The 16875-nt window shown below is 44.9% G+C and overlaps 1 pseudogene; it reads left to right on the forward strand.

Annotated features, from left to right (window-relative positions):
• LONRF2P2 (LONRF2 pseudogene 2) lies at positions 3554 to 4322 on the forward strand (annotated as a pseudogene).

The following is a 16875-nucleotide window of genomic DNA, read 5'->3' on the forward strand; positions in this document are numbered from 1 at the left end:
TTAAAAACAAGACCTAACTATAAACTTTCTACAGGAAATTCACTTCATCTGTAAATACACACATAAATTGAAAGTGATCAGATGGAAAAATATATTTTATAAATATGGAAACTGAAAGAAAGCCAATATAGATATATTTATATCAGATAACATACGCTTCAAGCAAAATCCTATAAAAACAGACAAATACAGCCATTATATAATGATAAAGGGATCAATATCACAAGATAATATAATTGTAAATATATATGCCCTCTATATTGAAGCACCTAAATATATAAAACAAACGTTAATAGATCTAACAGGAGAAACAGCAAGCAATAAAATAATAGTCAGAAACCTTAACATTCCACTTTCAGCAATAAACAGATTATCAAGACAGAAAATCAACAAAGAAACATCATATTTAAACTGAACTCTAGACCAAATAACTTAGCAGTCATTTACAGAACATGTTATCCAACAATTGCATAATTCACAGTCTTCTCTACTGCTCATGGAACATTTTCCATGATAGATCATATATTAGGCACAAAATGAGCCTTAGCAAATTCAAAAAAAAATCAAAATTATATCACATCTTTTCTGACAATATAGAATAAAACTAGAAATAAACAACAAGAACTTCAGAAATTGTGCAAATACATGCAAATTAAACAATGTGTCCCTAAACAATGGGTTAAAAATAAATTTTGTTTCATTTTTAAAATTCTTAAGACAAACGAAAATGAAATCAGAACATATAAAAACTTAGGAAATACAGCAGAAAAAGTCCTCAGAGGGAAGTCTGTAGAAATGAATTTCTATATGAAAAAAAGAAAACTCTCATTAATAATTTAAGAATGCATTTCAAGGAATTATAGAAACGTGAACAAACTTAGCCCCAAATTGGTAAAAGAATATAGATAATGAAGACCAGAGCACAAATAAACCAAATGGAGACAAAAATATGAAAGATCAATGAAATAAAAAGTTATTTTTTGAAAAGATAAACACAATTGATATATCTTTAGTCAGATTAAGAAAAAAGAGAGAAGATTCACATAAATAAAATCAGAGATGAAAAAAGACATTAAAATGGTTACTACAGAAATATAAAGAATCATGAGAAAGTACTAAAATTATATGCCAATAAATTAGAAAACCTAGAAGAAAACCTGGGGAACATAGTGAGACCCAGTCTTTACAAAAATAAAAATAAAAATTATCCAGGTGTAGTGGTGTGCACTTGTAGTCCTAACAACTTGGGAGGCTGGAGCAGGAGGATCACTTAAGACCAAGAATTTGAGGCTGCAGTGAGCTATGATTGCACCACTGTACTCCAGCCTGAGTGACAGAGAAAGCCCTGTCTCTAAACCAAAAATATTTAAGAAGAAAGAAGAAAGAGGAAGAAGAAGAAGAAGAAGAAGAAGAAGAAGAAGAAGAAGAAGAAGAAGAAGAAGAAGAAGAAAGGAAGGAGGGAAGGAGGGAAGGAAGGAAAGAAAAAGAAAGAAAGAAAGAAAGAAAGAAAGAAAGAAAGAAAGAAAGAAAGAAAGAAAAAGAAAGACAGACAAAGAAAGAAAGGAAAAGGAAGAAAAGAGAGAGGGAGGGAGGGAGGAAGGAAGGGACGGAAGGAGAAGAAAATAAAAATTGAGGATCCAATGCTTATACTGCTGAATTCTTCAAAACATTTAAAGAGGAACTTATACTAATTATTTACAAACTGTTCCCAAAAAAAGTGAAAAGGAGGAAACTCTTCCATACTCATTCTATGAAGACAGAATTACCTTATTCCAAAATGCGACAAGAACAGTGAAAAACTAAACTACAGGCCAATATCAGTGATGAACATAAATGCAAAAATTCAAAACCAGCAATGCTAGCAATCATAATTTGAAAGCACATTAAAAAGATGATTCACCATAATCAGGTTGTATTTGTTCCAGGGAGGCAAGGAGGGCTTATGATATATAAATCAATAAATGTGATACACCATATTCGATAAGGTAAGATAAAAATCATATAATCATTTAAATAGATACAGAAAAAGCATTTGACAAAATTCAATGTTTTTTGTAAACATAAGATCTCTTAACAAATCAGTTATAAAAAGAATATAACTCAATAAAATAAAGGCCATATATGATAACCCACAGCCAACATGATACTGAATAAGGAAAAATTGAAAACTGTCTCTCTAAGATCTAGAACAAGACAAGGATGTTCACTTTAATAACTTCTCTTCAACATAGCACTGGAAGTCCTAGCTAGAGCAATTAGAAAAGAGAAAGAAAAGACATCCAAATTGAAAAACAAAAAGAAAGTCAAATTGTCCCTGTTTGCAGATGACATGATCTTATGTATAAAAAACCCTATACTGAAAAACAGAAATAGTAAATGAATACAGTAAAGTTTTAGAATACAAAATCAGCATAGAAAAATCAGGTGCATTTCTATACCCAACAGCATACTATCTGAAAAAGGAATCCCCATTGAAAATAGCTATAAAAAAATAAAATGCCTGGCAAAATAAAGACGTCTAAAATGAAAACTATAAAACATTGATAAAAATCAATTGAAAAGATACAAATAAAGACAAGGTTATCCCATTTTTTGAATTAGAAGTGTTAATACTGTTAAAATGACCATCATACTCAAATCAATCTATAGGTCCAATACAATCTCTAACTAATTTCCAATGTAATTCTTCACGTTCTGCGGAGGACATGAACAGACACTTCTCAAAAGAAGACATTTATGCAGCCAAAAAACACATGAAAAAATGCTCATCATCACTGGCCATCAGAGAAATGCAAATCAAAACCACAATGAGATATCATCTCACACCAGTTAGAAGGGCGATCATTAAAAAGTCAGGAAACAACAGGTGCTGGAGAGGATGTGGAGAAATAGGAACACTTTTACACTGTTCGTGGGACTGTAAACTCGTTCAACCATTGTGGAAGTCAGTGTGGCGATTCCTCAGGGATCTAGAACTAGAAATACCATTTGACCCAGCCATCCCATTACTGGGTATATACCCAAATGACTATAAATCATGCTGCTATAAAGACACATGCACACGTATGTTTATTGCGGCATTATTCACAATAGCAAAGACTTGGAACCAACCCAAATGTCCAACAATGATAGACTGGATTAAGAAAATGTGGCACATATACACCATGGAATACTATGCAGCCATAAAAAATGATGAGTTCATGTCCTTTGTAGGGACATGGATGAAATTGGAAACCATCATTCTCAGTAAACTATCGCAAGAACAAAAAACCAAACACCGCATATTCTCACTCATAGGTGGGAATTGAACAATGAGATCACATGGACACAGGAAGGGGAATATCACACTCTGAGGAATGTGGTGGGGAGGGGGGAGGGGGGAGGGATAGCATTGGGAGATATACCTAATGCTAGATGACGAGTTAGTGGGTGCAGCGCACCCGCATGGCACATGTATACATATGTAACTAACCTGCACAATGTGCACATGTACCCTAAAACTTAAAGTATAATTAAAAAAAAAAAAAAGATTTTTAAAACCGTTTTTTTGGTTCTGCAGGCGAAGGCTGTGGCGGCGCTCCCGCCGGCCAGTTCCCAGCAGCAGCTCATCGCCCCTGCTCCGCGCCTTCGCTCCAGGCCCGCACGGTCGCAGCCCCGCGGGGATCAGCACTGAGCCGGTCCCGCCGCCGCCCCAGTGTCCGGGCTGCTGCTGCGGGAAGCCAATCGCCCAGCGCTTGGAGGAGGGCGACGAGGCCTTCCGCGCGAGCGAGTACCAGAAAGCAGTCGGGCTCTTCCGCTCCATGCTGGCCCGGCTGGCGCAGCCCGACCGCGGCCGGTGCCTGAGGCTGGGGGACGCTCTGACCCGCGCCGGCCGCCTCCCGGTGGCCCTGGGCGCGTTCCGTGTAGCCGGGAGGCTGGAGGCGCTGCGGCCGGAGGAGCTGGGGGAGCTGGCGGGCGGCCTGGTGTGTCCCGGCTTGCGCGAACGGCCACTGTTGGCGAGGAAGCCGGGCGGCGAGCTCAAGGCTAGGGAGGGCCGGCCCTGGCGCCCCGCGCGCCCCGCGACCTGCTTGGCTGCCCGCGGCTGCTGCACAAGCCGGTGACACTGCCCTGCGGGATCACGGTCTGTGAGCGCTGCGTGGAGCTGGGGCCCGCGCGGCCACAGGCGCGGGCGCGGGCGCGTGAACGTAGTGCTGAGCCGCCTGCTGGAGAGGTTCTTCCCGGCCGAGTGCCCGCTGCGCAGGCTGGAGGGTCAGGCGCGGAGCCTGCAGCGCCAGCAGCAGCCCGAGGCCGCGCTGCTCAGGTGCGACCAGGCCCTGGAGCTGTGACTTGGCTGTGGGGCTGGCCCGCCTCCCTGACCCCTGTCAAGCCCAGCGGCTGGAGCTAACCCGCGGGCCTGGGCTTTCGAGCGCTTTGTCCAGGCGTTGGGGGTCACTTCGTTTACTAATGATGGGAAGGTGAAAGGTGGGGGAGGCCACTCCCTGCAGTCGGGGTGGCAGGTGTCAGAGGCCACATGCAACCCACTGGTTTTGTCTTTTCTAGGATGCTGATAAGTTTCCCGCGGCCCCCGGAGCAGCTCTGTAAGGCCCTGTAGTTGCCTTTCGTTCCCTTCTGCTCTATTGAGGAGTGGGAGGATGACAAAGTGTTTTTGCTCAACCCGAAGGAAAATGCACATGGAAGGACACACTGGGTTATTATTTGAGTAGCCCAGGCAAGAGACCAGCGGTCTGCTTCAGCCATGAGACCACCTCAGGCCAAAATAGCCTTGTGGTTGTTTTACTTCTTTTCACCAAATGGGTCTTTTTGGGGTTTGTGGCGTGTCCCATGTAACGATGATCTCTTGGTTCCCCTTTCTCATTCACACCCGGGAGCTGAGGTGGGGTGGAAGAGTGGGGGGGGGAAGGGGAGTGGCCACCTGCGCCAGGTGTGAGAGAAGCCACACCTGAGACCAGCCCCTCTGTCCTCCTGCCTCTGCATGCAGCGTCCCTGCAGGAGGCAGAAGGGGTGAAAAGTAGCCTCGATGTGAAAGTGCTTGTGTGTCCCTGAGGGGGGAAGCAAGTCACAGTCAGGGCACTGGTTCCTGTCATTGGGTGCAGTACAAAGAAGGACCCCAGGACATGCGGTGCAGACGGGAGCACAGAGAGGGTGGGTGCTACTGGGGTGCACAGGCAGCTTGAGGAGGATGGAGATGGCAAACTTCCCTTTGTCACACCAGGTCCACGTTCAGGGCCAGAGGACCACCAGATCCCCAAAGCCTCCGGTGCTTCCGAGGCAGAGGAGAGGCAAGGCCGGTGGCCCCCGGCGTCCAGGGACCTGGCAGCCACCACTGAGGCCCACCTGCTTGTCCCTCAGCCGGGTGCTCACTGGCAGCCACACTCCCGGTCTCTGGGCTCTGCCCAGGACGTGTGTTTGGGCTTCTCTCCCCAGCAGAAGTCATCAGCGTACCCTCTGCATCCCACGGATTTGCTTCGTTTCTGAGGGAATAATTAAGGAATGTTAGTATGATATCAGAAAATAGCTAATTATGGTGAAGAGCTAACAGGGCAATCTGGGAAGTTGTGGAGCTCTAGTTAGTGATGACAGAAGAGGAACATATTTGACTGTTTTGTGCTACACCCAGGTTCTCAGGAGGTGGCCAGGGAGGAGACTTGGCACTGTGCCATGCTCAGAGCCCCTGGCCCCAGGGACTGTTTCCCTGTGGGAGTTTGGATGAGAGGCAGTTGGCTGGGAAGCTCAGGATGGAGTGAGGAAGGAGAACGACTTGAGGTGCTTGGGTTGGAAAGATCTAGTACCCCAGGAGGGACTGGCTGTGGCCTGCACACACCCCAAACTCACACACTCTGTCATGCTCACACAGACACACACACTCATACTCATAGGTCCAAGCTCACACACCACACTCACATGGCTTATTCACACACTTACACATATTAACACACATACACACTTATATTTACACATCCACACGCAGTTATATTCCACATACACACTCATACTGCCAAGTTCAAACACCACTATCACACATTTCTTCACATTCACACAATAACTCACATACACACTCTCACACTTGTACACACTCACCTACCCACTCTCCATTACACACATTTACCTGTCCGTTCTCACACACATGCACAAACACAAAGCCAAATTAGAGCCATTTTCCTGGTCCCACACACACAAAAATGATACCTCAGTTTCTTGGTCTTGACCACAATTGGGCGCATGATTCCATCCAACCAACAAGGTGGGGCGGGAATGAAATCCTATCACGTCCTCAGGCCGTGGAGAAAAAAAAACTATGTCAGGCCTCTCTAATGCCTCCCACAAATGGGCAGGAGGGATTGAAACAGAAAAGGGGTTCCTCCTGACATGTGGCATTGATGGAGCCCGGTTCTGCCTCATGCCAAGCCCTGCCTTGCCCCTCAATGATGGAAAATGGTTGTGTGTCTTGTTTCTTAGCCTCCAACTCTGTCTTGGTACAGAGTAGAGACTTGAGTCTCAGTTCCAAAGACAGGAGTCCTGCTGAGCTGACCCGCCCACTGACAGATGAAGTCTTGCCATCTGCTGACCAAGTTCCCCAAGGCCCCTTGAGACTCAACTTCTGAAGAGGGTCTGCTCAGAATTCCCCGTCCCCGTGATCTGCCCGGCTGTCGGGACACTGGTGAGCCTGCTCTGTGGGGAGTCCCTTTTCAGCTCAGTCAGCAAGCGGCTCTTCTCTATAAAGAGGCAGGGGATGAACCTCCTCTCTAGTTTTAGCAGCAGAGGCCATGAGACCCATGGCAGAGGCCAGAGCTGTGCAGGCTGTAGGAGGTACCATGTCAGGGATTTCAAACGGAGGAAGGTACTTTCCAGAGAGTACTGCAGGGAACCAAGCCATATCCACCGTAGCTGCAATAAAAACTCTGAGGCTCAGCTTAAACTCAATCCTAGAAATGAAGTCCCAGCACAAGCTTTGCAGGATAAGCAAAATCTAGAGAAGAGAAAATGCAGACCCAGGCAACGATAAACATAAGTCATCTTGACACCACGGAGCAGATACAGTGCCTTCTCCACGTGCGGTGAATGAGGTTCTCACGTCTGTTAGTGTGTGGAATTGAACATCAATATCAGAATCATTCTGTGTTACCTACAGCTGATTTTATGTTGTTATGCCTGTCACCTGATGAATGTGTATCTTTAGCCAACCTTTTCACCCCAAAGCTCCTGCCCCAACCCCTCCTCCTGGAAGTGCCCATCTCTGGTCTCAGCAGGAGGCTGTTCTTCCCAGCCTGTGGGGTGGCCTTGCAGGCTGTAACCCTCTACAAGAAATAAAGTCTTCTCTCCTTTTCCAAATTTCGATATTTGCTTAATCCTTAGCTTCTATTTTTTCAGGCTTTTAAACTGCTTTTAGGTCATGGCCTCTTCTCTGTAGGGTCTGGAGGCTGACAGATGTCCAGCAGGAAAGAGCTGCTAACTAATTCCAGTAGCGCTGCTCTTCTGCCTAACGGAGGTGTTTAAATGTTGATTTTGGCAAAATCTATGAGCAGGTTGCTCCCCCTCTCCCGAGATCTCTCACAATACTTTGTAAAACCCAATTTAGCGCATCGTCTGTGAGAGCAGCTTTTACTGGTTCTGCAGCGATCTTCCTTACTCATAATCTATTGAAATGTTGTAAAGTGATGCAGATTTGTGGCATGTGAGGAGAGCATGTAGACACACACTCTGCTGTGATTCAAAGTGCCCTAACACCTTCCTCTCCCCTACAGGTTGTGATGGGAGGGTGCTCTGGGTCACTGAGGAAGGGGAGTCATAAAGGAGCAGAGGCCCCCCGTCGTGAGTGCCATCTGACCTTGAGTGTGGCCTCTTGTTCTAGCCCACAGGCCCACCATGGTCTGACTAAATGCTGGCACTGCTCATACATCCACTTTTAAAAATTGAGTTGAACATGAGAACATGATCATTCATATTTTATCCACTTGCATGTATTCAATAACATCCTTTCCCTGTTCTCGTCTCTGCTTTACCGCCTTTTTCTTTAAAGAATGAATGTTTCCATGTTTTATATCCACAGAATTTCTGGTTTTTCCCTTTGGAGCCCAAGAAGCAAGGGCAGAATGAGGAACATGATGTTTCTTACAGACAGTTACTCATGAGGCCGCAGCACAGAAACTGCAAGAAATGTCAGTCATAAAGTGTCCCAGTGCATTTTAAATTGATGATTACTAAAATCCTTCTTTATCTATAGGGGATCTAAAAAATTAAACAACTCATAATTTAAACACGGTTGCCAGGTAGCCGGAGTCAAAAATCAGGAGAGGCTCTGTGGTCTGAAGTCTCCTAGTGCTCACCTTGATGAGGGTCTAGTTGCCTAACGGGTTGGTGTAATGATGTCATTCAACACAAGCAAAACACAACTCCCTTGGAGTTGTTCAAAAAATCAGGAAATAGAAAAAAAATAAGGGAGAATAAAATATTGACAGGAGAGAAAAATGAAGAGTTACTTGGAGATTTGAAGGAGGTGAAATGGGCAAAAAGTAAATTTAGCAATTAGAATTTAAAGTCAGTGGATAATTAAGTTGAATAATTTATTCTTATGTCCATGTACTTTGGTTTTAAAGTTTTGATTAATACTCATTCAACACTAATTTCTAACAAATTAAAACATTTCCACATTGTCTATTTTTACCAGTGAGCTTGTAATAAAGATCCGCTAGTAATTTTAGTACACCATAACCTTTCAAAAGAAGCCCATAGAATAAACTAATTTTTAAAGAGTCACATTTTATTCAATGTTTATTTATACATGTTACTAGCAATAAACTCTTTTATCTTTAATTTTGAGAAGCTTTACAAATACAGAAAAGTAGAATGACTAATAGAGCCGGTAGCCAGGACTCAGATTGGAAAAATAGGTCTAATCGGTTGTTACACTGTGTTTATGTCATACATTTCATTTATTTTTATCAAATAAAAATTAGAATTTATAAAATGTTGATTAAAAGGAAAACATTCTGAGTAAAGTTTAGTCCCATGTTTCTTCCTCCAAATCTCTTTGTTCTACATTAACAGGTAAGGATAAGTATGGATGGGGAGGCTGGAAAAGGGGCATCCTTCCCCATGCGGTCCCCAGAGCCACCTTCTCCAAGCAGGACTTGGGGAACATCCTTCTCCATCCAGGACCTAGGGGGCATCCTTTCTCCACCCAGGACCTGAGGGGTGTCCTCCACCCAGGACTTGGGAGATGTCTTATCTACCCAGGACTTGAAGGGGATCCTATTCCATTCAGGAGTGGGGGAAATTCTTCTTCAACTGGACTTGGGGGGCATCCTTCCCCATTTAGGACTTTGGGGGCATCCTTCTCCATTTAGGACTTGGGGGGCATCCTTCTTCATCCAGGACTAGGGGGTTATCCTTCTTCATTCAGGACTGGGGGTTGTCCTTCTCCATGTAGAACTAGGGGCATCCTTCTCCATTCAGGAATTGGGGAGCATCCCTCTCCATCCAGGACTTGGGGGACATCTTTTTCCATCCAGTAACTAGGGGGCATCCTTCTCCATCCAGGACTGAGGGGGGCATCCTTCTCCACTCAGGAATTGGGGGGCATCCTTTTCCATCCAGGACTTGGAGTCCATCCAGGACTTGGAGGACCGTCTTTCTCCATCCAGGATTTGGGGGACATCATTTTCCATCCAGTAACTAGGGGGTATCCTTCTCCATCAAGGACTAGGGGGCATCCTTCTCCATCCAGGACTGGGGGGCATCCTTCTCCATCCCGGAATTGCGGTCATCCTTCTCCATCCAGGACTTGGGGAACATCTTTTATCATCCAGTAACTAGGGGGCATCCATCTCCATCCAGGACTGAGGGGGGCATCCTTCTCCATCTGGGACTGGGGGGCATCCTTCTCCATCTAGGACTGGGGGGCATCCTTCTCCATCCAGTATTGGGGGTCATCCTCCTCCATCCAGGACCTAAGGGGTGTCCTTTTCTGTGCTTCCTTGGATGGCAGCCTTTCCTGTGCAGTCATTTGGAAAGTCAGGCTGACACATGTTGTCGTCTTGAACTCTGGGTGAATCCCTTCATGTTTATAGTGATTTACCATTAAATCACTGTGCCGTTTTTTCCTAAACTATATGGGGCATGTTTTTTGTTTTGAGTTATGTTAGTCCTTTGGTCCCTAGCTCCAGTTTTTTGTAATTTCTTTTGCAACCTAATATGCGTCCCATTTGGTAAGTATTACATATACTAGAAAGTGATGTATATTCAGCATTTGTTGTGATTTTAAAACCTTTTATAAACACATAACATCTTTGTATATTTCCCGTTTAAATTCAGAAGTATGAGTTCCAGCGTCCCTCTCTAGACCTGCTCTATCCTGTTAGTTTCTTTGTATGTCCTGGAGGCGAGGCCAGCATTGGACTTGACATTGCTTCACCTACTCGGTTCTATTGTCCATCCATGTGCAGTGTCTATCCTGTTGTTTATTATTTCTTCCTTAAATTTTATTTGAACTAAAATTAATTTTGTGATAGCAGGTTGCTTTCTGTGAATATTTACTTAAAATTTTTATAAAATTTTTATTTTTTTATTTCTTTAATTTGAAAGTGCTGCTTTGTTATTGATAATTTTGTATTTTAATATATGAGGTTAATCCCTCTATGTTTGGTAGGAAAAAGTGATATATTTGAACTTATTTCTATCATTTGATTTTGGATTTTGTATTTGCAAAGCTTTATCCTCAATTCTCTTTTCCTTTTTTCAGATTTCTTTTCTTTTCTCCTTTTTTTGGGGGGGACAGAGTTTTGCTCTTATTGCCCAGGCTGGAGTGCAATGGGGAGATCTCGGCTCACCACAACCTCCGCCTCTCGGGTTCAAGCGATTCTTCTGCCACAGCCTCCGAGTAACTGGGATTACAGGAATGGGCCACCATACCAGGCTAATTTTGTATTTTTAGTACAGACAGAGTTTCTCCATGTTGGTCAGGCTGGTCTCGAACTCCCGACCTCAGGTGATCCACCCACCTTGGCCTCCCAAAGTGCTGGGATTACAGGCATGAGCCACCGTGCCCGGACTTCCAGATTTATTTTCAATCAACATTTCATTTTCCACTTCCTTCCTATGCTGGCTTGCAGGCTTTCCAGGCTATTTACCTTTATTTAGTGTCAAAAATTCTTTTGGGAACTTTTGAGTTGTCAACCAATAGTTGTACGCATATTGGATATGGCTGTTTTTCTCCTGGTGCTCTGGTTATAATCTCTCCTATTAATACCTGTAGTCTTATCGTTGTAGTTATTTTTTCTATTGATTTCTGAGTTATAATAATTAGAATTGTCAAATTGTGGATTTATGCATTTATCCTTTTAATTCAATAACTTTTGCTTCATGTATTTTGCTGTTTTTCTTAGGTGCATGCATGCTTATGCTTATTAGGTTTTCTAAGCAAATGGGCTTATTGGTATAAAACATCCTTCTTTATCCCTGGTGATGCTTGTCTTTCTTGTAGTGTATCTTATCTGCCATTAATACACTGGCTGCAGTTTTTGATAACAAAGATTGCATAGTGTATATTTGTCCATCTTTTCAGTTCGAATCTATTTATATCTTTATCTCATAAGTGTATTTCTTTTTAAAAGTGGATACTGAGGTTTCCTTTTTACCTACTTTGACAGTCTCTGTTCCGCCTTCCTGATCTTCTTCTGGATTATTGCAGTTTTGGTTTGTTTGTTTGTTTTATGGGGTTTTCTTTTTTTTTTTAGTATGGATTTTGTACCCTGTTATTTGTTTTTAACTATGACTTTGTTTCATTTATTTATTTTTGGTGAGTTGTTCAGAAATTATAAATACTTAATGTATATTAAATATCATAACACTGTATATAAAATATAAAAACCTTACCTTACCATCCTCTCATCTTTTGTGCCATGTTGTCATAGATTTTTCTTCTGTACGTGTTGTAATTCCTGGAGGATGTCATTAAAACAGTGATTTCCCCTCCACATATTTACTATTTTTGGCACACTTTCATCTTTTCTGTGAACTAGAATTTCCAATTATTATTTTTCTTCATCCTGAACAAGTTTCTTTTGCATTTATCGTGGTTTGGGCGTGATGGCAACACAGTCTCACAGACTTTCTTTAACTGAAAATGTACTTTTCTCAACTTCAGTTCTGAAGGCTGCTTCAGCAGGTTCAGAATTCTAGGGACACTTTCGACTTTGAACAGCATCTCTGGGTACCATCTAACATATTATTATATCCAGTTGTGTCAAATCTGTCATCGGCCATAGAACCCTTTGACAGGTGCTTCTTGTTACTTCAATTCTAAGTATTTCATAGTCTTCAGAGACATGGAGAAGTAGCAGTGCTAGTAACAGTACTAGTAAAACCAGGTTAAGCCCTAAAATAATTAAGAAGCCATTGCAGGCACACACATGAATGTTTGACTTCAGCTAAAATGCTTTCAAATGTACTATTCTATCTTTATACAAGGCCATAACACAAATTAAAATTTTAAAAATACTTTCACTTTACGTATGTGAAAACTGCAGCTCAAAGAATTTAAAAGACATGACTGAAATCCCATAACCAGGTAAAGATGGTCTAATCTGGAGCCCGCATGTCTCGGTCCCCCCACGCCCTGTTACAGAGAGTGCGAGGCTTCACCAGGAAGCTCTTTCGGCTCAAGGATTAGCTCTGGGGAAGTGCAGCAGGCAGGCCTGCTTTGCAACCTTTCTTCCAGCAGAAATCCAATGTTTGTTCACATTTCTAGTTCTTTTTGTTTTGTTTTGTTTCTTATCAGTATGGCTCTGGGAGTTATTTACAAAATTTAATTTTAAAAGTGACAGTCCGCATCATTAGGGTTCCTTGGAAACTTATGAAAAAAATAAATAAATACTGGTAGATAAGAAATTTCTGCAAAATTGTTAGTTATATGTGTAATATATCTAATCGTAACTAAAGAAACATGTGTATTACAGTAATAATTTAATTTATTATTGTCATTTTCTTGCCAGATATGAGGGCATTTTTTTAAGCTCTCCACACGTGGTTTACTGTGGACCAAACACTGGCAGCTTCAGGCTTACAATGTGCTGACAAATCCTTCTTAGTTCGTTCACTTTGAAGAATGTGAGCATGCACTGTTCATGTGCCTGGCAAGCATGTAACCTGCTCAGGAGAAGGACAGTGTCCACTCAGGTCATCAGGTGAACTTGTGATGAGGCCATCAATAGGCTGCACGTGTGCTCCAGAAAATGAAATTCCCACTATCAACCTATTTTCCATTTCCACCCAATGGCCCGCCCCTGCTCCAAAGCCATGTCTCCACCTCTTAGGAATGCTTGATTTTCAGCATTGCTGAACAGGGGTCAAAGAAAACAAACTGAACAAACAAACAAATGAAGCCTTTAACCCGGGAGCAAAGACACAGCACCTCCCCACTCCACAACAGCTCCAGAGCTGCACAGCTGCTGCCAGAGCCTGAGCACAGGCCTGAGCTCTGGCCCATGGATCTCACCAATGCATTTCTTCTCCATGCCAAAAAAAGTATCCATAAATGGGATTCATTTACTTGGGACATAAAATAATGTATACCTATAGTTTTCTCCCAGAACTGTGTAAACCGGCATGCTGTCTGCCACAATACAGTCCTCACCCTGCATCAGGAGCTCAGATGGGGGAAGCCAGCAGGGCTGCAGGCCTGAGAGTCACAGGTGCTTGGAGGGGAGAGAAAAGCACCACAGAGAGCCAGGCCCTGCCTACAAGTCACATTTTTAGGGGTCTAGTGGTCTGGGCAGGCTGGGAGATGCTCTCTAAAGGAAAGGCAAGAAATATTGCCCAACGTCTCCCACCACAAACAGAAAGTGCAGGTGGTCAGCCCCAGGGCTCACCTGCCCTTTGCCAGGGTCACGAGTCAGGCCCAGGCTGCACCCTCCACACAATCCTCAAGGAGAGTTCCTGCCAGGCTGGGACAACTGCACCGGGACCTGATGCCCTGGGAAGGACAGGGTTGCATTTAACAGAAACAGTTAAACCTGAAAGGATGAGCTTGCTTTTCCCCGGGGCCATCGGATGGTTTATAGAAAGTTCTGCCCATCAGGACAAGACCTCACATGACACCATCAGAGGAACTGATTTCACACCACAGAGGGAGGAAGAGGGCACATGCAGTAGGTCCACTGGTCACAGCACACACATGCTCCTGGGAGCTTCAGACCCAGCAGTGTGGCTCAGGTGCCAGGTCAGGATGTGGGAGGACACAGTGTCTGCAGGAATCTGTCACCTTTGCTAGCTGCCTTGTCCCACTAGGTAGAAGATGTGGCAATGAGAGCACAGCTGTAGGAAGCCCAGTGTCCCCCAACCTTCCACATCACACCCAGGACCTCTGAGGTGCATCTATATCTGCATATCTAGGTTCTGAAAAGCAGGAGGTCCTGGTTTCCACAGCTGTGGGGCTTCTAGCCAGGGCAGGGCCAGGTTCTCTGAAAAAACAAGCTCTGGGTGCTGCTTTGTCCTCAGGCTGCTCCTCCATGGGACCTGCGGGCAGAAAAATGGGTACCACCTGGACCATGGTGTCAGCAGGAGCAGAGCTGTGCTGCCTGGGGAAGGAGGGGCTCCACGCAAGTACCTCCCAGTACACAGCATTTGATGGCATGTGGACAAGTGCAGGAGCCCTAGACCAAGGACTCTGAGGTGAGCAAGGCTGAGGGCCCCTTAGGGGTGAGGGCCTGGGTTACACCACCAGGGGGTCACCAGGACCCTCAGCAGAAGGTGGAGGGGGTGGTGATCATTACCTGTGTGACCCTGAGGTGGGTGGCAGCCACAGAACCTAGGGTTCATTGAAACCCCTTTTGTAACTAGTGCCCAGAAAAAGGCCTAGAATTTAATAAAGACAAGGCCCGTGGCAGTGCAGTGCTGGATGGGGCGCACCCCCTGGGGCACACCTGAACCTCCCCCAGGGCCTTGGCTGTGAGCTTTGATTGTAGACACACTTATGCCACAGCCCCTTCAGACTGCTCCCTTCACCTCTGAAAAATCAGACAGGATGCTTCTGTTCCTGGAAACATGAATGCCCTTCGTGTGTTTTTTACTTTGACTAGAAACACATCTGCAACCGAAATATATGCAGAGACCTCGTGTGCTCCCAAGGTTTCCAGGCATCTCTGAGTTTGCTTCTCAGTTCCCAGAAGGTGTGACAGCTCCAAAGCATGTGCTTCTGGTTTCTCATCTCAGTGTATTTTAGTTCCCTGTGGACAGCATGTTTCTAACCCCCTTGCACACTCTTGGATCAGATTTTTGAAAAAGCCAAGGGTGGGAGGCAGAATGATGTGGAATGGGCAAAAACCATGAGTAAAGGCTGGCCTCACCCCAGGAGGAGACAGAAGGCATTAGCCCAGTGACAGTGCCAGGGAACCCATGCGGCAGCCTAGGGAAAGTCAGGGAATGGAGCTGGGGCTTCGGCTGTCGCCATCCCAGAGTTAGACTCAGCCAGGTGAACAGCTGATTCTCCTCCACAGAACCCTTCGGCTGGCACAAAACATGCGATTCACAGCGAGAGAAAGACCACTCATGTCCACCCCCTGCAGCCTCCACACACCTGAGCCCGTACCTGACATATCCCAGAACAAGACTCCACAGCTATGCATCTGTTCTCTCCAGGGCATTTCATGATGAGAGAGGGATTTACTTAACATGATGAAAATAGAAGAGGAAATGACCTTGACAAGTACATAGTTCCACACCCGCCATCCAGGGCCTAGGAATAGTGCTCAGCCAGGGCCCGGCCCTTCTAGGGCTCTTGGAAGCTGCAGTGGAGGTGGTGTTGGGACAAGCAAGAGTGACCATTTGCAGGCAGTGTGGGCACCAGGCCATCTGCAGGGGAAAAGCCCAGTGGGAGGATGAGAGGATAGCAGAAACCTGGCAGGGGCTATGCACCCCCCACCGTGGGAAGGGGATACACTCCCAGGTGGAGCCACTGTTTACATTGAAATCACTCAAGTCCATCACCAGGAAACACAAAGGGGATTGTCTTGCCAGAGATTAGTGATCTGGGACTTAAACAAAATGCCAGTCAGCAAATGAGAGGATTCTTAGTTCCACAGGCCTCATGTCTATAGTTGCAGTAAGCAAGACTGAACTCAGCCATGCTCACCTGCAGACACTGAGATGCTTGCTAGGAGGCTGTGGGGTGGAATACAAGACACGAGGGCTGACAAGGATGGGAAGAGCATCCCTTTCCTGGCTAGGGGCCTTGGCCAATTCAAAAATAGATAACATGGGGTCTCAGAGCTCCTGAGGCAAGAGCTACGTAGGCATTCAGAGATACCTGGATGATGGCATTGTCTTCAGTAGAACCTTGAAAAAGCACCAGGGACTCCCAGGCAACTTAGCTTAAATCTCTCTCGAGTAGAGCTGGTCTTTGGGATCTCCATCAAGTGGATGATGCCTTTACCACCATGATAGCACATTATAAAGTTGGCCTTGCAAGCAGCAGGGACAGGCCTGATGTCACTGATCCTGAGGCAAGCATCTTATAAACCCATATAATTTAATTTTGCGTAGGCTCAAGCTCATCACTGAGATCATCCTTTGTATGACGATCCATGAGGCCACCGTGAACAGCATGGATGCACCCAGGTCACAGAGGGGCCCTCTTCATCCTGGATGAGGAGCCCACAGTGTCCATTGCCCCTCAGTCAGAATAAAATCAAGACAAAAGCAATCAGAAGACCCATACACCATGAGGCTGAGCCATTTTTCAAAGATGTCAAAATAGGAAAATAATAAAATGGAAGAAAACCCAGAATCCCATCCCCTGACTTGCTCCAGAGGCCTCCCCAACTCCAGGCCACCAGGAGCAGGGGCCCTGCAGAGGAACTCTCCCTGGGTAGAAATTCGCTG

Source organism: Homo sapiens, chromosome 13, assembly GCF_000001405.40.
Source record: "Homo sapiens chromosome 13, GRCh38.p14 Primary Assembly".
Taxonomy (NCBI): Eukaryota; Metazoa; Chordata; class Mammalia; order Primates; family Hominidae; genus Homo; species Homo sapiens.